Genomic DNA, 24,065 nt, shown 5'->3' with positions numbered 1-24,065 from the left:
TATCTTTATCTTAGCCAGAAAAGCTTTAATATTTCAAAGCACAGATGGAATTGTTGCCTTTTCTCAAAAGGAATAACTAGGTTCTACTACTTTCTCCCTAAGATGTACATTCCTCCAGTGTTCTATAATTAATATCTGTGGGGGCAGTGGAATTTGAAATCACTACGAAACACAACTACTTTTTGTTTCCTTGACAAATAGATGAGAAAGTCAGTCAAGCTGGTTTGTAAATTGTTCTGTTCTTGGGTAATTTTTATTAGGGTCTCTGAGTTCCTTCAACAAATTAAACCTCATGTATCCTTAATTCTCAATTGAAATTTTAAAACAACTGACCAAAATCTCCCCTTTTGACTTTTAAAAGTACTGCTGTAAAACAATAAACACCTGGAAAAAGTGGGAGGAAAAAAGAGAACATAACTGACAAAAGCCTAGGAGGAAGAAAGAATTTTGATGCAACTATTATTTATTAGTTTAAGAAAGGCAGGAAGCCAAATCATTAAGAGTAAAATCATTCAACCCAAGGAAGCTGATAACAACAAAAAAGAATAAAATCAGTAAGCTTCTACTCCCTAAAAAATTACGCACATACATACACTCGTCCCTCCTCTACAGACAAAACTAACATTAAAGTAATTCTGGGTGGCCTCTGTGAGCAAATTTTAATATTAGTGTTTTTCCACTGCTATTGTAATTTTCCTTTCAAGATACCTCCATGTCACAGAACCATGTGAAGTTTGTCAGTAGTGTTTCACACTTTTAGTTATGGGAATGTTTATTTGCTACAAAATTTACTCTTTAGCTTACTATGGAATTTGGTATAGTAAAATTATGTTTTACATATTGCTTCAAACCCACCTAAGGCCATGGATGAAATCACCCTTCTGCTGTAAGAGACTAAGCAGCTAAAAGGAAGAAGATAACAACTGCTTGGAAAGTCTCACAATACAGACAAAAAGGCTTAATATATACCATTACAATAATTATAGTTTATAATTAAGACAGTTCCATGTTTCGAAACATTGCCAGAAACCTGGAAAAATACCACCTATAACTCTATGAACCTAGAGCAATGGAATGAAAAAAAAAAAAGGTGACTTAGGCATCTAAAGGGGAGGGAGAGGGTGGATAATAACCAATTATAACAGAGCTCCTGCTCAATGAATACAGAAATGCCATTAAGCGTAAACCAAGAGTAAAAATACGCAAGAGACCAAAATAGATTTATTACTTCTTTGGGGGGCTGAGACAAAGTTTACCTTGAACCTCAAAAAGAACCTAAGCCAATAACACACTAGACTAAGTAGAAAGAGTCATCTAAAATACTAGAATGCCCCAACAGCCTTCTGAGAATAGAGAATAAACAAACTTAAAAGTGCTTTTCCTACATTCTCATTCAACAATCAACAAAGACTTCTTTGACCAAATGTATGAGAGTTCTCCCCACACACACCAAGCAAGCAATTCTGCAATGAACACCAGCTAGGTGCCCTCCAATTCAATTCTGACACTGGAAGAGAGCATCAGATCCCACAGACTGAGTGCTCAGTCTCACAAGACTGCCCCCCACTTCCCATGCCAATCACAAATCTCAGGTTAACATTTGCTCTGACCCAACCACCATAAATCGGGGCTCACACAACCCCCTTCTTGGGTTCCATTAATTTGCTTGAGCAGCTCACAGAACTCAGGGAAACACGTTTACTGGTTAATTATAAAGGACATAACAAAGGACACCAATGAACACCAGATGAAGAGATGGAGGGGGCAAGGTAGGGCTAAGAGTGCAGAGCTTCTAGGTTCTTTCTGGGCATGCCAACCTCCAGGAACCTCCATATGTTTTGCTGTCTAGAAGCTTCCCAAAACCAGTCCTTTTGGATTTTTATGGAAGTTTCGTTATGAAGGCATAATTAATTAAACCACTGGCCACTGGTGTTCAGTTTACCCCTTCAGCTCTTCTCCCTTCCCCAGAGGTTAGATGGTAGGGCGGAAAGTCACAACCTCTAGTCCTGCCTTATTCTTTCCAGTGACCAGCCCCCATCCTTAGGCTACCCAGGGGATGCCAACCATCAGTCAACTCATTAGCATACAAAATGACACTTATCACCTTGAAGACCCAAGGATTTTTGAAGTAGTATGCCAGGAAATGGGACAGAGACCAAATAGAGATTTCATAATACCATAGCCTTCTCTCTGGACCTCTTCTATATCTGTACTTGCTGCTCTATCTTACTAGACTTACTTCCCTATCTACACTCTCTCTCTAGTTGATCTCTTCCAGCTTCCTGGCTCTAAAAACAATCCATATACTAGACACGCTATGGTGATTGCTGAACAACTCTATGAATATACTAAAACAATTGAATTGTACACTTTAAATGAGTATATTTTTTGTGAATTATATCTTTAAAAAAGATTTCTTAAAATAGACATCCCAAACCTAACACATCCAAAACTAAATTTCTCATCTTCTTCCCAAAATCTGCTCCACTCACAGCCTTCCCCATATCAATAAATGTCAACTCTTATCTTTCTAGTTGCTCAAGCTAAAAAAAAAAAAAAAAAAAAAGTCATTCTTGATTATTCTCCTCCTCTCTCACCCCACATTTAATCCACCTAGAAATCTGGCTGGACCTACTTTCAAAATAGATCTAGAATTAAATTACTTATCACTTCCGCTGGCCATAACCTGGTCCAAGCCATCAATATTTTACACTGGATTACAATAGCCATCTAATTGGTATCCCTGTTCCAGCAGAAACAAGAATAACCTTTTAAAAACAAACGAGTGCCAGGCGTGGTGGCTCACGCCTGTAATCCCAGCACTTTGGGAGGCTGAGGCGGGCGGATCACTTGAGGTCAGGAGTTCGAGACCAGCGTGACCAATATGATGAAACCCTGTCTCTACTAAAAATACAAAAATTAGCTGGGCATGGTGGCATGCACCTGTAATCCCAGCTACTCAGGAGGCTGAGACAGGAGAATCGCTTGAACCCGGGAGGCAGAGGTTGCAGTGAGCCGAGATGGTGCCATTGCACTCCAGCCTGAGCAACAGAGCAAAATTCCGTCTCAAAAAAAAAAGAAAAAAAAAGAGTTCATCTCCTTTTGCTTAAATGGCTCACCATCTCACTCTGAATAAAAACCAAAGTCCTTACAATGCCTATAAAACCCTTGGTGAATCCCATTTCACCCCTCCCCAACACCACCCACCATAATCTCTTTGAACTCATCCACTAATCTTCATTTTAACAACTCCTTTCCAGTCACAGAAGCTTTCTTGCTGCTCCCTAAACTCACCAGGCACACTCTAACCTCAGGACTTTTGTTTTTTCTGTTCACTTAGTCTTGAACATGCCCACCTCATACCCTCATGTCTATATTGCTTAATATCATACCTCCTTACTCAGATGTCACCTTCTCAGTGAGGCCTTCCCTTACCATTTAATGTAAAACTGCAAACCCCTCTGTTTCCCCCTTCCCTGCTTTCTATTTCTCTAGAGCATTTATCGCCTTCTATTATGTTTAATATTTTACTTATCTGTTTGCTGTCTGTCTCCCCTTACTAGAGTATATGCTGTCTTTGTGTGTGTGTGTGTCTGTGTGTGTGTGTGTGTTTCTTTTTTCAGACGGAGTCTCACTCTGTTGCCCAGGCTGGCATGATCATGGCTCACTGCAACCTCTGCCTCCCGGGTTCAAGCAATTCTCCTGCCTCAGCCTCCCAAGTAGCTGGGACCACAGGTGTGCACCACCAAGCCCGGCTAAATTTTAAGCTCTGTGAAGGCAAAAAATTTTGTTCATTTTGTTCTCCTGCTGTATCCCCTGTGCCTAAACAATGCCTGGCACAGTAGGTGTTTGATAAATATTGAAAAAACTGAATGGAAACTAGGGATTTATAAACAAATTTCATCTTAGAGCTCAAAGTTAGGGTCTGTATCTACCCACCTGTATTACTAATTTGTTTATGTATGATATGTGATTAAAAAGCTGTATGCCTATGGCAATACTGTTACACTCTACAGGTCATCAATCTAAATGAACCTTACATTTAGAAAGGTTTTTACCTAGACGATAGCTTCAATAATTATGTTCCATTTTTTTCCCTTTTTTTAATTAATCAAAAACATAAATAAATGCCTATCAGAACTTCAAATCACTAAGAGATAGTTATGCCACAGAGGGGGAAAAAAACAAAAAACACAAGAATTTAAAATCTTGATAGTCTAGTTAATCTATATAGTCTAAATCTTGAATAAATAAGCAAGCTATCAAAATTTTCTTGCACTGTAGAAAATATTTTATGAATAAGAAAGGCTGTGTAGGATGGTGGGTAAGAGTGTATACTGTAGATCAAGAATGCCTGGGTTTGAATTCTGTCTCCATCTCCACCACCTATTAGCTGTGTAACCACGGGCAAGTTACTTAACCTCTTGGCACAGCCGGGCACGGTGGCTCATGCCTGTAATCCCAGCACTTTGGGAGGCCAAGACGGGCGGATCACAAGGTCAGGATATCGAGACCATCCTGGCTAACACAGTGAAACCCCATCTCTACCAAAAATGCAAAAAATTAGCCAGCCTGGTGGTGGGTGCCTGTAGTCCCAGCTACCAGCTACTCAGGAGGCTGAGGCAGGAGAATGGAGTGAACACGGGAGGCGGAGCTTGCAGTGAGCCACGATCGTGCCACTGCACTCTAGCCTGGGTGACAGAGAGAGACTCCGTCTCAAAAACAAAAACAAAAACAAAAAACCTCTTTGTGCCTCTGTTTTCTAATCTGTAAAATGGAGATCATAATAATACCTAATTAAAAGAGTTGTGAGAACTGAATGAATGAATACACGTAAAATGCTTAGAACAGTGCCTGGCATATAGTAAGCACTTAACAAAAGTTAGCTATAAAATTATTACCAGCTTCATGGTCCATCTAAGGATCTCGATATCCAAACTGAGAAACCATTGGCATACATTAACCGTACTTTGTAAATTCTCTGCAAAACCAAATCCTGTATGAAGAGATTTTTTTCTAGTCCATGTTTATATGTTTCATTTTGAAAAACATACCAGCTTGCATTGAGATTTACTTCAAAGTACTAAGGGAGAGGAGGTAAAGTGAAGGAGATAGGTGAAAAAAGACTGTTATGTGATAACTACTGAAGTGGGGAGATCAGTAGAAAGGTGGTGTGTCATTACCCTTCTATTTTTATACATAAAGTTTCTATGAAAAATAGCTAAGAAGAGTGCGGTGGCTCATGCCTGTAATCTCAGCACTTTGGGAAGCCAAGGAGGGTGGGCTGCTTGAGCTTAGGAGGTTGAGACCAGACTGGCAAACATGGCAAAACCCCATCTCTACAAAAAAATACAAAAAATTAGCTGGGTGTGGTGTGTGTACCTGTAATCCCAACTGCTTGGCAGGCTGAGGCAGGAGAATCACTTGAACCCAGGGGGCAGAGGTTGCAGTGAGTCAAGATCATGCCACTGCACTCCAGCCTGGGTGACAGAACAAGAATATGTCTCAAAAAAAAAAAAAAAAAAAAGACAAAATGGATGTCATTAACACAATATTTTCCATTTTGTCCTCCTAGTTCTTCAAAGCATATGCTAATTTACTACAGAGAGGCTAGTCCAATTCGTCTCTCACAAACTGGGAATGTAATTTCCAGCACTGTAGACAGTGTCTGGAATGTAAATTCCAGACAGAATTATCTCTACTTGTAGATTGTAGAACTTTCATCTACAGGTACAGAACTACTTATAGATGAAAAACTGAGGTTCACAGTTTAAGTACTTTGCAAAGTGTCATCCAGTATTAAGTGACCGGAGTTAACATGTTAACACAGGCCTCTTTTATATTTTTCCATATTGATTCCCATTTTACCATTAAAAATGGGAAAGAAGGTCTGGGCCTGGTGGTTCACGCCTGTAATCCTACCACTTTGGGAGACCAAGGCAGGCAGATAGCTTGAGCCCAAGAGTTCAGCCTGGGCAACATGGCAATACCTCGTCTCTACAAAAAACATAAAAATTTGGCCGGGCGTGGTGGCTCACGCCTGTAATCCCAGCACTTTGGGAGGCTGAGGTGGGCGAATCACTTGAAGTCAGGAGTTTGAGACCAGTCTGGCCAACATGGTGAAACCCCATCTCTACTAAAAAATACAAAAATTAGTTGGGCGTGGTGGCATGTGCCTGTAATCCCAGCTACTCAGGAAGCGGAGGCATGAAAATCACTTGAGCCCGGGAGATGGAGGTTGCAGTGAGCCGAGATTCCGCCACTGTACTCCAGCCTAGGCGACAGAGTGAGACTCTGCATCAAAAAAAAACAAAAACAAAAACATAAAAATTAGCCAGGTGTAGGCCGGGCACAGTGGCTCACGCCTGTAATCCCAGCACTTTGGGAGGCTGAGGCGGGCGGATCATGAGGTCAGGAGATCCAGACCACGGTGAAACCCCGTCTCTACTAAAAATACAAAAAAAAAAAAAAAAAAATTAGCTGGGCGCGGTGACGGGCGCCTGTAGTCCCAGCTGCTCGGGAGGCTGAGGCAGGAGAATGGCGTGAACCCGGGAGGCGGAGCTTGCAGTGAGCCGAGATCGCGCCACTGCACTCCAGCCTGGGCGACAGAGCAAGACTCCGTCTCAAAAAAAAAAAAAAAAAAAAAAAAAAAAAAAAATTAGCCAGGTGTGGTGGCATGGTTCCAGCTACTCAGGAGGCTGAGGTGGCAGGATTGCTTGAGCCCAGGAGGCGGAGGTTGCAGTGAGCGGAGATCATGCCCTGCACTCCAGCCTGGGCAACAGAGCCAGACTCTGTCCCTCCCCCACCTCCCCACAGAAAAGAGAGAAAGAAGAACGAAGTACAGAAATGATAATCTGGGCAAATTGCACATCAAGTCCATATGCCTCCAACTGCTGCACCTGTAATTTCTTTCACTAAATTATAAATGCTTCCTTCTGATAAACAGAAATTAAAGCAATTCTGTTCCTTAAGTTCTTGATTAGCTATTTCACATTATGTTGGCAAACATTTACTGATTGCTAACTGTACGCCAGCACTATCCTAGTTGTTTGGGGACAGGGCAACAAATAAGACAAACTTGTCATCTGGTGGAGGGAAGCCAGACAATAAACGTGTAACAAACAAGGTAATATCATATACTGAAAATAAGATGATGTGACAGCAATTGAAGGCACTACTTGAAATAAAGCGAAGCCGGGTGCAGTGGCTCACGCCTGTAATTCCAACACTTTGGGAGGCTGAGGTGGGTAGATCGCCTGAGATCAGGAGTTCAAAACCAGCCTGGCCAACATGGTGAAACCCTGTCTCTACAAAAAATACAAAAATTAGCCAGGTACCGGGTGCGGCGGCTCACACCTGTAATCCCAGCACTTTGGGAGGCTGAGAGGCAGGTGGATCACCTGAGGTCCAGAGTTCAAGACCAGCCTGGCCAACATGGTGAAACCCTGCGTCTACTAAAAATACAAAAATTAGCCAGGCATGGTGGCGCATGCCTGTAATTCCAGCTACTTGGGAGGCTGAGGCAGGAGAATCACTTGAACCTGGGAGGCGGAGGTTGCAGTGAGCTGAGATCGTGCCATTATACTCCAGCATGGGTGAAAAGAGTGAAACTCTGTCTCAAAAAAAAAAAAAAAAAAAAATTAGCTGGGCTTAGTGGTGCACGCCTGTAATCCCAGCTACTCAGGAGGCTGAGGCAAGAGAATCACTTTGACCTGGGAGGAAGAGGTTGCAGTGAGCTGAGATCACGCCACCGCACTCCAGACTGGACGACAAAGCGAAATTCCATCTCAAAAAAATTAAATTAAATTAAATTAATTTAAAATAAATAAAAAACAGATACATGTAATTTAAAAAAATCTATTAAGACTCCGTATTAAAAAAAAAAAAAAAAAAACAAGAAATAAGGTGATCAAAGTAGGTCTTTCTGAGGAGGTAATAGTTGAGATTTGATCTAAACAATGAGAAGGAGGCAGGATGTGAAGAAGCCCGAGGTAGGCAGAGCAGATGGTACAGGACTTACAGATCAATGTAAAAGAAATTCAGACCTTCAACTTGTTGCAATGGGATATCACTGCAGGGTTTTAAAGCAGAGGAATGACATTTGTTTATGCTACAGAAAGATCACCTTAGAAAATGATGGTCTGAGGTCAGGAGTTCGAGACCACCCTGGCCAACATGGTAAAACCCTGTCTCTACTAAAAATACAAAAATTAGCTGGACGTGGTGGTGCGTGCCTGTAATCCCAGCTACTTGGGAGGCTGAGGCAGGAGAATTGCTTGAACCCTGGAGGTGGAGGTTGCAGTGAGCTGAGATCGCGCCACTGCACTCCAGTCTGGACGACAGAGCGAGACTCCATCTCAAAAAAAAAAAAGTAAAGAAGGATAAAATAAAAATATCTCTGGAACATATCCTTAGATAGCCTATTTCTCTAAATTATTTCCTTTTATATGAACAAAAGTCTCATTACACACTGAAATAAAGGATAAAATTAAAATATCTCTGGAATCTAATAGTTACTTAAATTTATACTGAGGTCTAAATATAAATATAAATTACTAAATAACGGATGTCAGAAGAAAAAAGAGAAGCAAAGTGGCATCAGGAAAATGGACAGAAAGGCTGGGAATGCCAAAGATACCTGCTTCACAATTTTTCCTAAAGCTGACTTAGAAACCAAACTCAGAGTCCAAAGATACCTGCTTCACAATTTTTCCTAAAGCTGACTTAGAAACCAAACTCAGAGTAAACTAAGTATAACTGTAAAGAAATAAGAACTTAAATGAAAACAAGGCCCATGCATAAACTGTTTTCATTGCGCCCCACACCATTCTGCTGAATATTTCTCTCAAAACGCTTTATTTACAATGAGACCAGTGAAGTTCATTAAATGTAAATACAAAACGACTAAAATTACCCTTAATCATTTTAGAAAGTTAAATTCCATTCCACTAGAAAAACAACATCATATTTAGCCAAAAGCACTTAACTATATAAACTATACACAATGCACTTCAACTGACACACTGCCCTCCTGGAGCATTCATTTTTTCACTCTTAAGATATCAATAAAGGAAATAAGCTCAGGCACAATAGCAACAACAGCTGAGGTAAAAAATTCTGGCTTCATTTTATCTCATTATTGCTGACTAGAAAAAAAACTGTAATTGTCGCTTGTGATCCCACACAGCAGAGACGGGACAGGGACCAACTTATTCTTGCAAATGATGTAACCATACAGTTAAAGCCCCAGAGCCCAAGGTGAGGAAATGTAAAATGCTTGCATAGGTCAGTAAAAATGTTTTAAAATAGGGTGGAGAAGAGGTTCTCTCACTCACATTAGAACTGTTTGCAATATATCACTGGTATACCAAGAACGTTAAACATTATTTTACAAAGTTAATGATGAAGTCAAACCCTAACCCCACCATTTTACTGAGTAACCTTAAGCAACTTAATTTCCGAGTCTTAGTTTCCTCGTTTGTAAATCAGTGATTAAAAAATCTACTTCTCAGACGATTTTAAGGTACAATGAGATGACTGGGCACATAGCAGATACTTAACATGTGAGTCTTCAATGATGACTGTTATCATATTTGATGTTTTTGCACGTTATAATTTTACCTCTGGGCAAGAAAATAACTCTTTGATCGGTTATTGGTAAACACAGGTAATTCTGTCCGGTATCTACTAATTTCTCTGCATTATTATTCAAAGAACCACAAAACATCCCTCCCAAAACTTTAAACACAAATAGTTCGAAGCATGGGGCCTATAATTTTGCAAGTTTTATCTATCTGTTCTCTAAAAGGTAAACAAATCAAAACACTACAGGAGCAATGGCAGAAGTGGAATAAGGCAGAATAACTGGATGATGGGTCTCACTGGTGAAATGCCGCAGGCAGGAAGCAAAGAAAAATTCTAATAGATGTATATGGAGTATGAGTTAACCCTCTCTTCTCAGCAGGAAACAGTAACTTCTCCACACTTCCTCCTATAAGATTTGAAACGTTCTGCAAACAATCCATGCTTTAACAGAGCTCGTTTCTGCAGTAAAGCAGCAAAATGGAAAAATCTCCAGGATAAAGACAAAAAAAACATAACTGGAGAAAAAGGTACTACATATTCAAAAAGCACATTTCCTGTGCACATTACCCATGAGATCAACTCAATTGTGTAAAAAGGTATTTCAGGTAATTAAAAAGTAACGGGGCCGGGCACGGGGGGCTCACGTCTGTAATCCCTGCACTTTGGGAGGCCGAGGCAGGTGGATCACCTGAGGTCGGGAGTTCGAGACCAGCCAGGCCACAATGATGAAACCCCGTCTCTACTAAAAATACAAATAATTAGCCGGACATGGTGGCGGGCGCCTGTAATCCCGACTACTCGCGAGGCTGAGACAGGAGAATCGCTTGAACCCGGGAGGTGGAGGTTGCAGTGAGCCGAGATCGCGCCACTGCACTCCAGCCTGGGCGACAAGAGCAAAACTCCGTCTCAAAAAAAAAGAGGAACTGGACACGCTTTATATTTGAAGGTATTAACGATGATACTGACTACTGTATCGCAGTTGTTTCTGGTCAGTATCCAAGAAACCTGTATTTTATTGCAGCAAACACAGGTACAGGGAAAACCCGGTGGTGCCTCAGATCTATGTAGAGCTCATGCTGCTTCTTAACATTCATCCAGGTAAGGCTCTCCTTACTACACATCACAAGTTTTAGATACATTCATCCAGACAAGGCACTCCTCATTAAACATCACTGGATTTACTACTGCTTAAAACCACAGCTCGCCTACCATCAGGAAAGCCAGAAATCATTAACACGTCAAGGCCTGTAAGAAATAAACAGACGCTACAATTTCCGCGAAGGTTCGGAAAAATCAATACACCTTACAAGGCTCTGAAATATTAAAAACAATATACGTAAATCTCCATGGATCTGGGCCCAACGGCCCAAGGTCACAACAATTCAATGGCTAAAAAACCCAAGAAATGAGTCTCCTGCAATTCAGGACAATCCTGGCTAGGAATGGAGTCTGGGTTTGGGACCACTGGGGTCAAACCTTTAATGTGAACAACCCCAACCAAATGCTGCGGCTCCGTGGGAAAACCCCAAGCGTTTCAGGCCACACTTCCTTCCATTTCCCCAGTCTTCCCTTCCCTAGTCACCCCCAACACTCACATCTCCGGAGCCACTTCATCCAATGATAGACGATAGTACTGTGGTGTTTTTTGTTCTCTATACACCAAGACGACAAGCCTTGAATGGACTCCATGGTGTTGGTTACCGACTGGAATTTTCGATCCAACGAGGACTCCAGAGCCCCTGCCGAAGAGGCCGACGAGGAGGAGGCCTTACTGCTGCCTCCGCCGCCGCCGGCCGCCATCTTCCCGGTTTGCACAAGCGCTGCTGCTCCTCTGGCGGCGGCGGCGGCGGCGGCGGCGGGAGCGGGCAAAACAATCACTGCGAGTGCGTGAAAGCCGTAGGTGGGGAGGGAAGCTAGGGGGTGGGGATGGTGCACGCGCTGGGCTCTTCTGGAGGTACGGACGGGAACACCAGCTGCTGGGCACGCTGGCAGCTCCTACACGCTGCAAGGAGGGGCTGCGGGTCTCGGAGGTTTTATCAATATTGTTCAAGGGGTCGTGTTTAAACCAGTCAGTAATCACGGAAAAATTACGCAGAAAACAGGACCTGCAAAGCCTTTCAAAACGCCTGACGCCGAAACTAATCGTTTTATACTTTTCGGCTCTCAGTGCTAAGGCCCTTCCCCGCCCCTGTTCCCACACTCCTGTGAGCCAGGTCGGGCGTTAATATCTTAAATGTAATACTACCCGACTGCCCCTTCAGTTGCAGAAATCTTTCTTTCCTTTAGACTCGCTAGCACAGAAAAGGTCCAAGGCTACCTAGTCAGGATTTTTTTTGCAACGCAATAGCAGCAAAGGGGCAGCAACAGTATCGCGCACGCGCCACTTGGCCCCACCCCCCTACCCCTGCTTCCTTCTCAACCTTGAAAGCAGAGGGAGGCGTGATGGCGGGGCAACCTGACCAATCAGGAGTGGAGAACCACAAGCGCGCGCAGGAGCTCTGAAGCCCCCAGGGCCCAGGAGGCGCTACGATTATTTTTGCGCCTGCGCAGAAGATAAGCGTGTAACGGGATGGAAGGAAAAACTGGGAGGGATGGGTGAGGGAGCTGGTATAACTAAGGTTAGCCGGGTGGGGGGGTTCCCCTGCCCCGCCCTTTGCTGCTTTTGGCCGCTCTCTTGGGTGTGTTCAGCTCACACAACAGAGACAGAAAATTCCCACCACTGAGACCACTGTTAGTCTTCAGGGGGCTGCAGCCATCGCCCCCAACTCCTCGGAGGAGCAACGCGCGACAAAATGGCTGGCAGCCATCTTGCGGCACCACAAAAGATGCGCATGCGCCAGATCCAGTGAGCCATTCACTACGCAGACTCCGACACCAAACCGTATTTATTGCTGCCCATAGAAGATAACATTCACAGCCGCTTGACCATTTAGGTTACAGGAAAAGGAAATAAATGAGGAAGTGAAAGGAAATTTTCCTCATAAAATTTTTCGAGGCGAAAAAAGAATGGCAAGATGTGACCTCATTTTCGCCAGCTATGATACAATCTTAAAATTGCATAATACATTACAGTTTTCAAGAGTCTTACGTAACTATTATATGAACCTTATACGAACCATTTTATCGCAGGTATCTATGTAAATCCTCTGAGCTAATTTAAAGGCTCCTGTGTTCCCACTAAACATATACAGTTTTAATTCTTTTAACGTCTCCTCACTGCGGCCATGCCTCTTGAGGCAGGGAACCTGTTTTGTCAAGTTCATGTCCACTATTCATTAATTCAACGAGTTGTTGAACCTCTTGTGCCAAGTACTGTTTTAGATCATGGGGAGCAAAACAGACAAAAATCCGTTCCCTCCGGGATTTAGTGGCAGGACACCACCAACAAGTACATTTCAGACAGTATTAAATTCTGTAAAAAGGTGAAGCAGGGTAAGGGAGAAAGGGGTGTGTGTGTGTGCGCGCGTGTGTGTACGTGTGCACGGCACGCACGCGCCAGTATAAGAATGGTGGTATGGTGAACCAGGAAGTCTTCTCGAAAGAAATAACTCGATCTGAACATTGAGAAAAAAGCAACCAAGCAGATATGCGAGACGGGGAGCGGAACATGCTGGCATTAGGAACAGCAAGTGCAAAGGCTCTAAAATACAGTCTCGCTCTGTCCCTGCCAAGGCTAGAGTGCAGTGGCACTATCATATCGCACAGCAGCCTCAATCCCCCAGACTCAAGTGGTCCTCCTGCCTCAGCAGCACAAGTAGCTGGGACTACAGGCCTGCACCACCACACCTAGCTAAAAAAACAAAACAACAACAACAACATTTTTTTGAGAGGGGGAGTCTCCCTATGTTGCCCAGGCTGGTCTCAAACTCCTAGCCTCAAGCAGTCCTCCTGCTTTCAGCCTCCCGAAGTGCTGGGATTATAAGCTTGAGCCGCCATGCCTGGTCCTGACCCCACATTTTTTTTTTTTCTGTAACTCTAGCCAAAGACCCACTTTTTTATAGACTATTTTTAGAGCAGTTTTAGATTCACGGCAATTGTGTGGAAAGCACAAGGAATTCCATATACCACCTGCCCCCACACATGAATACCCTCCCCCATTATCAATGTCACGCACCAGAACGATACATCTGTTACAACTGACAAACCTACACTGACACATTATCACCCAAAGCCCATAGTTTACATTAGGGTTCGCTCTTGGTGTTATACCTTGAGTTTGGACAAATGTGCATGTATCCACCATTACAGTATCATACAGAGCAGTATCACTGCTCTAAAAACCTCTGTGTTCCACCTATTCATCCTTCCCTCCCCCTTATTCCCCTAGCGACTACTAATCTTTTTACTGTCTTCATAGTTTTGCCTTTTCCCGAATGTCATATAGGTGAAATCATTCAGTATGTAGCCTTTTCAGACTGGCTTTTTTCACTTAATAATATGCATTTCAGGCGGGGCACGGTGGCTCATGCCTGTAATCCCAGCACTTTGGGAGGCCGAGGTGGGTGGATCACGAGGTCAGGAGTTCGAGACCAGCCTGGCCAACATAGTGAAACCCCCGTCTCTACTAAAAATACAAAAATTAGCCGTGCATGGTGGCGCACGCCTGTAGTCCCAGCTACTCCGGAGGGTGAGGCAGGAGAATCACTTGAACCTGGGAGGCGGAGGTTGCAGTGAGCCAAGATCAGGCCACTGCACTCCAGCCTGGGCAACAGAATGAGATTCCACCTCAAAAAAAAAAAAAATGCATTTCAGTTTCTTCCATGTCTTTTCATGGCTTGATAGCTCATTTCATTTTAGTGCTGAATAATATTTCACTGTCCAGATGTGCCAGTTTTATTTATCCATTCACCTGAAGGACATCTTGGTTGCTTCCACATTTTTGCAAGTATGAATAAAGCTGTTACAAACATCTCTGTACAGCTTTTGGGGTGAATATATTTTCAACTCCTTGGGTAAACACGAAGGAGCACAATTGTTACATCATATGGTAAGAATATGTTTACTTTTGTAAGAAATCATCAACCTAAGGCCGGGCGCGGTGGCTCATGCCTGTAATCCCAGCACTTTGGGAGGCCGAGGCCGGTGGATCGCCCGAGGTCAAGAGTTAGAAACTGGCCAGCCTGACCAACATGGTGAAACCCCATCTCTACTAAAAATACAGGGCCAGGTGCGGTGGCTCACACCTGTAATCCCAGCACTTTGGGAGGCCAAGTGGGGTGGATCACAAGGTCAAGAATTAAAGACCAGCCTGACCAATGTGGCGAAACCCCCTCTCTACTAAAATTACAAAAAATTAGCCGGGCGCAGTGGCACATGCCTGTAATCCCAGCTACTCAGGAGGCTGAGGCAGGAGAATTGCTTGAACCTGGGCAGCGGAGGTTGCAGTGAGCCAAGGTCGCGCCACTGCACTCCACCCTGGGTGACAGAGTGAGACTTTGTCTCAAAATAAGTACATACATACATACATAAAATAAAATAAAACAAAGCAAAATTAGCTGGACATGGTGGCAGGCACCTGTAATCCCAGCTACTTGGGAGGCTGAGGCGGAAGAATTGCTTAAACCTGGGAGGCAGATGTTGCAGTGAGCCAAGATCACGCCATTGCACTACTGCCTGGGCAACAAGACTGAAACTCCCTCTCAAAAAAAAAAAAAAAAAGAAAGAAAGAAATCGGCCAGGCGCAGTGGCTCATGCCTGTAATCCCAGCACTTTGGGAAGCCGAGATGGGCAGATCACCTAAGGTCGTGAGTTCGAGGCCAACCTAACCAACATGGAGAAACCCCGTCTCTACTAAAAATGCTAAATTAGCTGGGCATGTTGGCGAATGCCTGTAATCCCAGCTACTTAAAAAAAGAAAAAATCATCAACCTACCAAAGTGGATTTACTATTTTGCATTTCCATCAGTTCTACATCCTCACCAGCATTTAATGTTGTTAATCTTTTGGATTTTGGCCACTCTAATAGGTGTGTAGCAGTATCTAATTGTTGTTTTAACTTGCATTTCCTTAATGACATATGATGTGGAGCATTTTTTTATTTTTTTGAGACGGAGTTTTGCTCTTGTTGCCCAGGCTGGAGTGATCTTGGCTGACCACAACCTCTGCCTCCTGGGTTCAAGCAATTCTCCTGCCTCAACCTCCTGAGTAGCTGGGATTACAGGCATGTGCCACCACGCCCAGCTAATTTTGTATTTTTAGCAGAGATGGGGTTTCTCCGTGTTGGTCAGGCTGGTTTTGAACTTCCAATCTCAGGTGATCCACCCGCCTCGGCCTCCCAAAGTGTGGGGATTACAGGCATGAGCCACTGTGCATGGACTTTTTTAATTTTTGAGAAGGAGTTTTGCTCTTGTTGCCCAGGCTGGAGTGCAATGGCACGATCTTGGCTCACTGCAACCTCCGCCTCCCAGGTTCAAGCGATTTTCCTGCCTCAGCCTCCCAAGTAGCTGGGATCACAGGCATGCGCCACCATGCCTGGCTAATTTTGTATTTTTAGTAGCCACAGGGTTTCTCCATGTTGGTCAGGCTGGTCTTGAACACCCGACCTCAGGTAATGTGCTCACCTTGGCTTCCCAAAGTGCTGGGATTGCAGGTGTGAGCCACTGTGCCCAGCCTGATGTGGAGCATCTTTTCATATGTTTATTTGCCATCTCTGTATCTTTTTTTGATGATGTGTCCGTTAAGGTCTTCGGCCCACTTTTTTTTTTTTTTTGAAACGGAGTCTCACTCTGTCGCCCAGGCTGGAGTGCAGTGGCGCCATCTCGGCTCATTGCAAGCTCCGCCTCCTGGGTTCACGCCATTCCCCTGCCTCAGCCTCCCGAGTAGCTGGGATTACAGGCGCCTGCCACCACACCCAGCTAATTTTTTGTATTTTTAGTAGAGACGGGGTTTCACCATTAGCCAGGATGGTCTCGATCTGACTTAGTGATCTGCCTGCCTTGGCCTCCCAAAGTGCTGGGATTACAGGCGTCAGCCACCGTGCCGGGCCCTTTTTTTTTTTTAAACGGAGTCTGTCTGTTGACCAGGCTGGAGTGCAGTGGCAGGATCTCAGGTCACTGCAACCTCAGCCTCCTGGGTTCAAACAATTCTCCTGCCTCAGCATGTCAGGTAGCTGGGATTACAGACATGTGCCACCATGCCCGGCTAATTTTTGTATTTTTAGTAGGGACAGGGTTTCGCCATGTTGGCCAGGCTGGTCTGGAACTCCTGACCTCACATGATCCGCCCACCTTGACCGCCCAAAGTGCTGGGATTACAGGTGTGAGCCACCGCGCCAGCCCCACTTTTTAATTGAGTTGTTCATTTTCTTAGTGTTGAGTTTTAGGAGTTCTTTGTATATTTTGGATAAGTCCTTTATCAGATACATCTTTTGCAAATATTTTCTTCCAGTATGAGGCCTTCTTTTTTTTTGGTGATGGAGTCTTGCCCTGTTGCCCAGGCTGAAGTGCAGTAGTGTGATCTCGGCTCACTGCAACCTCCGCCTCCTGGGTTCGAGCAATTCTCATGCCTCAGTCTCCTGAGTAGCTGGGATTACAAGCGCCCACTATGATGCCCGGCTAATTTTTTGTATTTTTGGTAGAGACGGGGTTTCACCATATGGGCCAGGCTGGTCTTGAACTCCTGACTTCAAGTGATCCGCCTGCCTCACCATCCCAAAGTGTGGGAATACAGGCATGAGCCACCACACCCAGCCCTTCTTTTCATTTTCTTGACAGTGTCTTTTGCACAGCAGAATTTTTCATTTTAATTAAGTCCAGTTTATAATTTTTTCTTTCATAGATCATGCCTTTGGTGTTGTTTCTAAAAAGTCAAGGCTGGCTGGGCACGGTGGCTCACACCTGTAATCCCAGCACTTTGGGAGGCCAAGGCAGGCGGATCAGGAGGTCAGGAGTTCGAGACCAGCCAGGACAACTAAGTGAAACCCCATTCCTACTAAATATACAATTAGCTGGGTGTGGTGACACACACCTGTAGTCCCAGCTACTCGAGAGGCTGAGGCCAGAGAATCGCTTGAACCTGGGAGGCAGAGGTTGCAGTGAGCAGAGACCACACCATTGCACTCCAGCGGGGGTGACAGAGTGAGACTCCATCTCAAAAAAAAAAAAAAAAAAAAAAAGTCAAGGCCAACCCCAAGTCAGCTACATTTTCTGTTATCTACTAGGTACTTTACAGGTTTGCATTTTACATTTAGGTCTGTTACCTATTTTGAGTTAATTTGTGTCTAGATTCACTTTTTTGCATGTGAACATCCAGTTGTTCCAACACCAATTTTTAAAAAAGATTATCTCTCCTTTATATTGCTTTTGCTCCTTTATCAAAGAGCAGTTGACTATGTGAGTCTATCTCTGTGATCTCTACTCTGTTCCACTGATCTATTCTTTCACCAATACTATACTACCAGCTGGGCATGGTGGCTCACTCCTGTAATCCCAGCACTTTGGAGGCCGAGGCTGGTGGATCACCTGAGGTCGGGAGTTCAAGACCAGCATGACCAACATGGTGAAACCTCATCTCTACTAAAAATACAAAATTAGCTGGGCATGGTGGCACATGCCTGTAATCTCAGCTACTTGGGAGGCTGAGGCAGGAGAATCACTTGAACCCGGGAGGTGGAGTTTGCAGTGAGCTAAGATTGCACCATTGCACTCGAGCCTGGGCAACAAGAGTGAAACTCCGTCTCAGAAAAAAAAAAAGCCAGCCACGGTGGCTGACACCTGTAATCCCAGTACTTTGGGAGGCCGAGGCGGGTGGATCACCTCAGGTCAGGAGTTCAAGACCAGCCTGGCCAGTGTGGTGAAACCCCATCTCTACTAAAAATATGCAAAACTTAGCTGGGCATGGTGGCAGGTGCCTGTAATCCCAGCTACTCGGGAGGCTGAGGTAGGAGAACTGCTTGAGCCCGGGAGATGGAGGTTACAGTGAGCCGAGATTGCACCACTGCACTCCAGCCTGGGCAATAGAGCGAGACTCCGTCTCAAAACAACAACAACAACAACAACAACAACACCACCTTCATTACTGTAGCTTTACAGTAATTCTCAAAGTTGGGTAATGTCAGTCCTTCAACTCTATTGGATTTTTTTTTTTTCCTTGAGACAGGGTCTCACTCTGTCACCCAGGCTGGAGTGCAATGGTACTTCCCAGGCCCAAGTGATCCTCCCAGCCCAGGTAGCTGGAACCACATGCACATGCCACCATGCCTGGCTAATTTTATTTTTAAATTTTTTGTAGACCGGGTGCAGTGACTCATCGCTGTAATCCCAGCACTTTGGGAAGCCAAGGCAAGAAGATGACTTGAGCTCTGGAGTTGGAGACCAGCCTGGGCAACAAAGTGATACCTCGTCTCTACAAAAAAATTTAAAAACTAGCCAGGTGTGGTGGCATGTGCCTGTAGACTCAGCTACTCGGGAGGCTGAGAGGTGGGAGGATTGCTTGAGCCTGGGACGTCAAGGCAGCAGTGAGCTGAGAACATGCCACACCACTCCAACCTGGGCAACAAAGCGAGACCTTGTCTCAAAAAAAAAATAAAAATAAAAAAAGTTGCAGAGATGGGATCTCCCTATGTTGTCCAGGCTGGTCTCAATGATCTTCCAGCCTCGGTCTCCCAAGGTGCTGAGATTACAGGCATGAGCCACCACATCCAACCAGAACTGACATCTTTACAATACTGTCTTCCTACCATGAATGTGACATACCATTGCATTTATTTAGTTTTTTTTTTATTAGAGTTTTGTAGTTTTCTTCATATAGATCTTACATATATTTGGATTTATCCCTAAGTATTCCACTTCCTTTTGGTGCTAATGTAAATGGAATTGCTTTTAATTTCAAATTCTACTTGTTCATTACTCGTATACAGGAGAGCGACTGATTTTTGTATTGTAACCTTATATCCTGCAACCTTACTATAATCATTTATTAATTCCAGCCAAAGGGTTTCTAAAACTCTTTCCAATGAAAATAAAAAATGAAAAAAATGACTCTTCCAAAACTAATAACTGCCGTTAACTAAAGGTATTCAAAAAGGACTGGAAATAGATGAAATTACCAAAATTCACAAAGTTTTTGTTTTTTTTTTTTTTGAGATGGAGTCTTGCCCTGTCGCCCAGGCTGGAGTGCAGTGGCGCGATCTCGCTTACTGCAACCTCCGCCTCCTGGGTTCAAGTGATTCTCCTGCCCCAGCCTCTCGAGTAGCTGGGATTACAGGCGCGCGCCTCCATGCCCAGCTAATTTTTGCATTTTTAGTAGAGACGGGGTTTCAACATGTTGGTCAGGCTGGTCTCGAACTTCTGACCTCGTGATCCGCCCGCCTTGGCCTCCCAAAGTGCTGAGATTACAGGCATGAGCCACCGCGCCCAGCTCACAAAGTATTTTCAGTGATAACAGCATCCCCAGGTAAGAACTATCCTGAGAATAACATTCATTTGAAAGAACATATCTGTCCCTACCTCTTTATTGTACAAATGAGGCAATATACACTTAGTGGCTCAGTTTGGTCTGTACTCAAACAAATCTGGGTTCAAATCAAGCTCTACAACTTACTAAGTCATAAACTTGGGCAAATTATTTACTCTAAGCCTCAGATTCCTCACCTCTAAAATGCATATCTCTTATAAGTTTGTAAGGAGAAATAAGGAGGTAATGCTTGAGAAAATTTAACAACAATTAACACCTGGAGGCACAGAGAGACGAGTGATATACTCAAGACAAGTTTGAGTCTCATTATGGGTACATTACAATAAACTATAGCATATTGTAATATAAATATTTCTTTTAGATCTTATGCAATCAATTCATTTTTGAAGTAGTGTATAAATTATTTACACATATACTTGTAACAAATCCTTTAACAGAACAAAAACACTCATTTTTATGACAATGAATTTTTCCCCTGCATTTGCTTAAATCAAGAAATACTAAAATAGCTAGTTCAATTCTCTAGCTCCCAAGTTTCATAGATATAATTACTAGTAAGCACTCAAAATCTTCATTGCTGTGTCCTGGTAAGCTAGAGTTATTTCAAAGATTTCATCCTGTACCATCCTTCAGATGATGAGCCTCACTCATCTGGGTTAGTTTGCTTTTCTCTTTTTTTTTGAGATGGAGTTTTGCTCTTGTTGCCCAGGCTGGAGTGCAGTGGTGCGATCGTGGCTCAGGGCAACCTCTGCCTCCTGGGTTCAAGCAGTTCTCCTGCCTCAGCCTCCCGAGTAGCTGGGATTACAGGCATGCACCACCACGCTCGGCTAGTTTTGTATTTTTAGTAGAGATGGGGTTTCTCCATGTTGGTCAGGCTGGTCTCAAACTCCAGATCTCAGGTGATCCACCGACCTCAGCCTCCCAAAGTTCTGGGATTATAGGCGTGAGCCACTGCGCCCAGCCGTGCTTATCTCTTTTTTTGGCTTTTTTCTTTTGAGACGGAGACTGGCTCTGTCGTCAGGCTGGAGTGCAGTGGCGCGATCTCGGCTCACTGCAACCTCCGCTTCCCAGGTTCAAGTGATTCTCCTGCCTCAGCCTCCGAAGTAGCTAGGACTACAGGTACGTGCCACAATGCCAGCTAATTTTTGTATTTTTAGTAGAGACAGCGTTTCACCATATTGGCCAGGATGGTCTCAATCTCTTGACCTCGTGATCCACCCGCCTCGGCCTCCCAAAGTGCTGGGATTAGAGGCGTGAGCCATCACTCCTGGCCTTTTTTTTTTTTTTTTTTGAGAAGGAGTTTTGCTCTCGTCGCCCAGGCTGGAGTGCAGTGACACGATCTTGACTCACTGCAACCTCCGCCTTCTGGGTTCAAGCAATTCTCCTGCCTCAGCCTCCTAAGTAGCTGGGATTACAGGTGCCCACCACCACACCCAGCTAATTTTTTGTATTTTTAGTAGAGATGGGGTTTCACCATGTTGGGCAGGCTGGTCTCGAATTCCTGACCTCAGATGATCTGCCTGCCTCGACCTCCCAAAATGCTGGGATTACAGGCAGGAGCCACCAAGCTCAGCTTGCTTATCTCTAAAAAAGGAGAATCCTTTGAGCTGGAGCTCAAAAAAATTAAAATCAGGCCAGGCGCGGTGGCTCACACCTGTAATCCCAGTACTCTGGGAGGCCGAGGTGGGCAGATCACGAGGTCAGGAGATTGAGACCAGCCTGGCCAATATGGTGAAACCCCATCTCTACTAAAAAATACAAAAATTAGCTGAGTGTGGTGGCGTGCGCCTGTAGTCCCAGCTACTCGGGTGGCTGAGGCAGGAGAATTGCTGGAACCTGGGAGGTGGAGGTTGCAGTGAGCCGAGATCACACCACTGCACTCCAGCCTGGCGACAGAGCGAGACTCGGTCTAAAAACAAAAAACAAAAAAAAAAAAATTAAAATTAAGAAGGAGAGAAGTTGCACTAGTTTTACCTCAAAGCCCTGTGTGGTCCCCTATCTCTTCCCACCTCCTTGATGGTAGTGCTCCCTAATACTACCTTAAAGTTGGAACTCTGACCAGGACCTGAAATACAGATTTTTTTTTTTAAAGGGGGTTAATTTTATAACACAGAATGTTTTAACTTTTTGTCAAACATCCATTCTCCAATACCAATTCATAGCATGCTCCACCTAGCAAGAAGGTATGGGAGCTCTATTGACTTGTTTGATCCATTCCCAACAGAGGCAATATGAAACGGAAGGATAGGTATGGTAAAAATTTTGGACTTCAAATACTCCTAAAATCAAACCAGAAACATTAAATGCTGAAATAAAACCACCCACATGTAGTCGGATTCATAGATAGAAAAAAAAAAAAAAAAACTACACAATTTCTATTAGAAGCGGATTTTTAAACTAGTAAAAGAGACAAAATGGGCTAAATTCTTAAATCCTATTCCACTTTACAAACTGACCCATAGCATCCTCCTTGGACTTTCCCTGTGTCCATTTCACCCACAACACACATTCCCACATATGCATCCCTTAGAGGAACTGATTTCCTGGAAAGACTACTTAGCCAAGTCCTGAGGTAATCTGTCTAACCTGGTGATTCTCTTGGTTAAGGGATGGATACTCATTTGTCCCTCCTTCCTCCCTTACCACTTTACACATCTCCCTGCTTCATTCTGCTCCAGGAAAACAGTATTTATCATTCTAGCTCCAGGATGAGATCAAACATTTCCACTAGACTTCAAAAATACACATCCATCTATCCATCCATCCATTCATCCATTTATATATATAAATAAATGTCAATGACAAAAAATGTTTTTTTCCACAGCAATTGCTAAAAGTCCGGAAAAAAGATCACCTGTAGACCCAAACTCTAATACTTACGAATGTGTGAAAAATATCACACCAAGTTTAAAAATAACTCTTTAATCATATGCACATAAGGGGAATAAAGGGCAACACCAGGCTGACTCAGGAGGGGAGCAAGATATTCTCCCTTTGTCCCAGTGTCTGCTTGGCACAGTTCTGAGATCACACAAACAAGTGGGAGGGGGTTGGGAAATAGAATAAGTGAGAGGACTGAAGAGACAAAGGCAAGGGAGGAGAGGCAAGGGCTTGCAGTAGTCTCAATCAGTGGACTCTAACACAGATTCACTCAGCGCAAGGTCCCAGTAGTGTTCAGCCCCATGCTTTTTGAAATGCTCACGAGCCATGTTCTCTGTAGGACACTGTTTAAACTTCATCTCTCCAAAGCTCCGGTCTTTGGCTGTACCCTAGAAAAGAGATATATAATAAAAACACTTCAATTTCTTATTTAAATCAGATAATATTCTTTTATAAGAAGACCTAGTAACATTTGTGAGACATGTGCCCAGCTGAACGTGATTTTATGGTTAAAAAAAAATTGTGACCTCCATTTCCTTGGATATTTGTGTTTTTCTGAGACAGAGTCTCGCTCTGTCGCCCAGGCTGGAGTGCAGTGGCACGATCTCGGCTCACTGCAAGCTCCGCCTCCCGGGTTCACACCATTCTCCTGCCTCAGCCTCTGGAGTAGCTGGGACTACAGGCGCCCGCTACCACGCCCAGCTGATTTTTTGTATTTCTAGTAGAGACGGGGTTTCACCGTGTTAGCCAGGATGGTCTCGATCTCCTGACCTCGTGATCCTCCCGCCTCAGCCTCCCAAAGTGCTGGGATTATAGGCGTGAGCCACCGCGCCCGGCCTCCTTGGATATTTGTATGAGATTTTACGAATTCATATGCATAAGGCTTTTAGTTTTTTGAAATGAAGTGAGGAATTATTTGCTCTGGTGCCTGGGTGGAACAGCAAGTCAGGAAGAACTATGGAAGGTGGAATGAGATAAACTTATCTCCTACCAGGCCTTAAGGACTAAATCTGAGCCTTCAAAAAGGCCCCAGAAACTATTTATATAAGCAGGAGGCTTTGGGGCCCAGCAACAAAGAACAACTGGGGGCGGGGAACAGAAGAAGAGCAGGTACCAGCAGAGAATTACAACAGAAAAAGACAGTACTGGGCAGAATGGCATTCTTGCCAAAGTTACCAGCAGCAATG

At 44.0% G+C, this 24,065-nt stretch overlaps 2 protein-coding genes across 24 annotated transcripts in view, besides 6 other annotated features; both read right to left on the bottom strand.

The window, feature by feature from the left end:
- RPRD2 (regulation of nuclear pre-mRNA domain containing 2) overlaps window positions 1-11,953 on the bottom strand; it is a 112,420-nt gene extending 100,467 nt beyond the window's left edge. For all 16 annotated transcript variants that reach the window (NM_001387124.1, NM_001387123.1, NM_001387122.1 and 13 more), the window contains exon 1: window positions 11,181-11,953. Coding sequence is in view for 12 of the 16 variants with exons in the window: in NM_015203.5 (NP_056018.2) it covers window positions 11,181-11,385 (205 nt within the window). In the remaining 4 variants the exon portion in view is untranslated. The remainder of the gene's footprint in view (window positions 1-11,180) is intronic.
- Window positions 10,393-10,682: an enhancer, noted in NCBI's record as "active region_1687". NCBI's record gives its function as "activates an Ori minimal core promoter by ATAC-STARR-seq in GM12878 lymphoblastoid cells {active_cell/tissue: GM12878}" and the evidence as "EXISTENCE:reporter gene assay evidence [ECO:0000049][PMID:35858748]".
- Window positions 11,166-11,445: an enhancer, noted in NCBI's record as "active region_1686". NCBI's record gives its function as "activates an Ori minimal core promoter by ATAC-STARR-seq in GM12878 lymphoblastoid cells {active_cell/tissue: GM12878}" and the evidence as "EXISTENCE:reporter gene assay evidence [ECO:0000049][PMID:35858748]".
- Window positions 12,196-12,505: an enhancer, noted in NCBI's record as "active region_1685". NCBI's record gives its function as "activates an Ori minimal core promoter by ATAC-STARR-seq in GM12878 lymphoblastoid cells {active_cell/tissue: GM12878}" and the evidence as "EXISTENCE:reporter gene assay evidence [ECO:0000049][PMID:35858748]".
- Window positions 12,666-12,735: an enhancer, noted in NCBI's record as "active region_1684". NCBI's record gives its function as "activates an Ori minimal core promoter by ATAC-STARR-seq in GM12878 lymphoblastoid cells {active_cell/tissue: GM12878}" and the evidence as "EXISTENCE:reporter gene assay evidence [ECO:0000049][PMID:35858748]".
- Window positions 12,666-13,658: a biological region, named in NCBI's record as "H3K27ac-H3K4me1 hESC enhancer GRCh37_chr1:150334918-150335860".
- Window positions 12,716-13,658: an enhancer, noted in NCBI's record as "H3K27ac-H3K4me1 hESC enhancer chr1:150334918-150335860 (GRCh37/hg19 assembly coordinates)". NCBI's record gives its function as "activates a minimal SCP1, AML or CMV promoter by ChIP-STARR-seq in primed H9 embryonic stem cells {active_cell/tissue: H9 hESC(primed)}" and the evidence as "EXISTENCE:reporter gene assay evidence [ECO:0000049][PMID:30033119]".
- PRPF3 (pre-mRNA processing factor 3) overlaps window positions 22,867-24,065 on the bottom strand; it is a 31,766-nt gene continuing 30,567 nt past the window's right edge. For 5 of the 8 annotated variants that reach the window (NR_146767.1, NR_146766.1, NR_146768.1 and 2 more), the window contains one exon: window positions 22,872-23,267. Coding sequence is in view for 4 of the 8 variants with exons in the window: in NM_001350529.1 (NP_001337458.1) it covers window positions 23,121-23,267 (147 nt within the window). In the remaining 4 variants the exon portion in view is untranslated. Of the gene's footprint in view, window positions 23,268-24,065 lie in introns of all 8 variants that reach the window. The other 3 variants (XM_047433995.1, NM_004698.4, XM_011510130.4) reach the window with 1 other exon arrangement.

Source organism: Homo sapiens, chromosome 1 (genome assembly GCF_000001405.40).
Source record: "Homo sapiens chromosome 1, GRCh38.p14 Primary Assembly".
Lineage (NCBI taxonomy): Eukaryota > Metazoa > Chordata > Mammalia > Primates > Hominidae > Homo > Homo sapiens.
The sequence above is the reverse complement of the archived record's forward strand: the minus strand, read 5'-3'. Positions and strand labels throughout refer to the sequence as shown.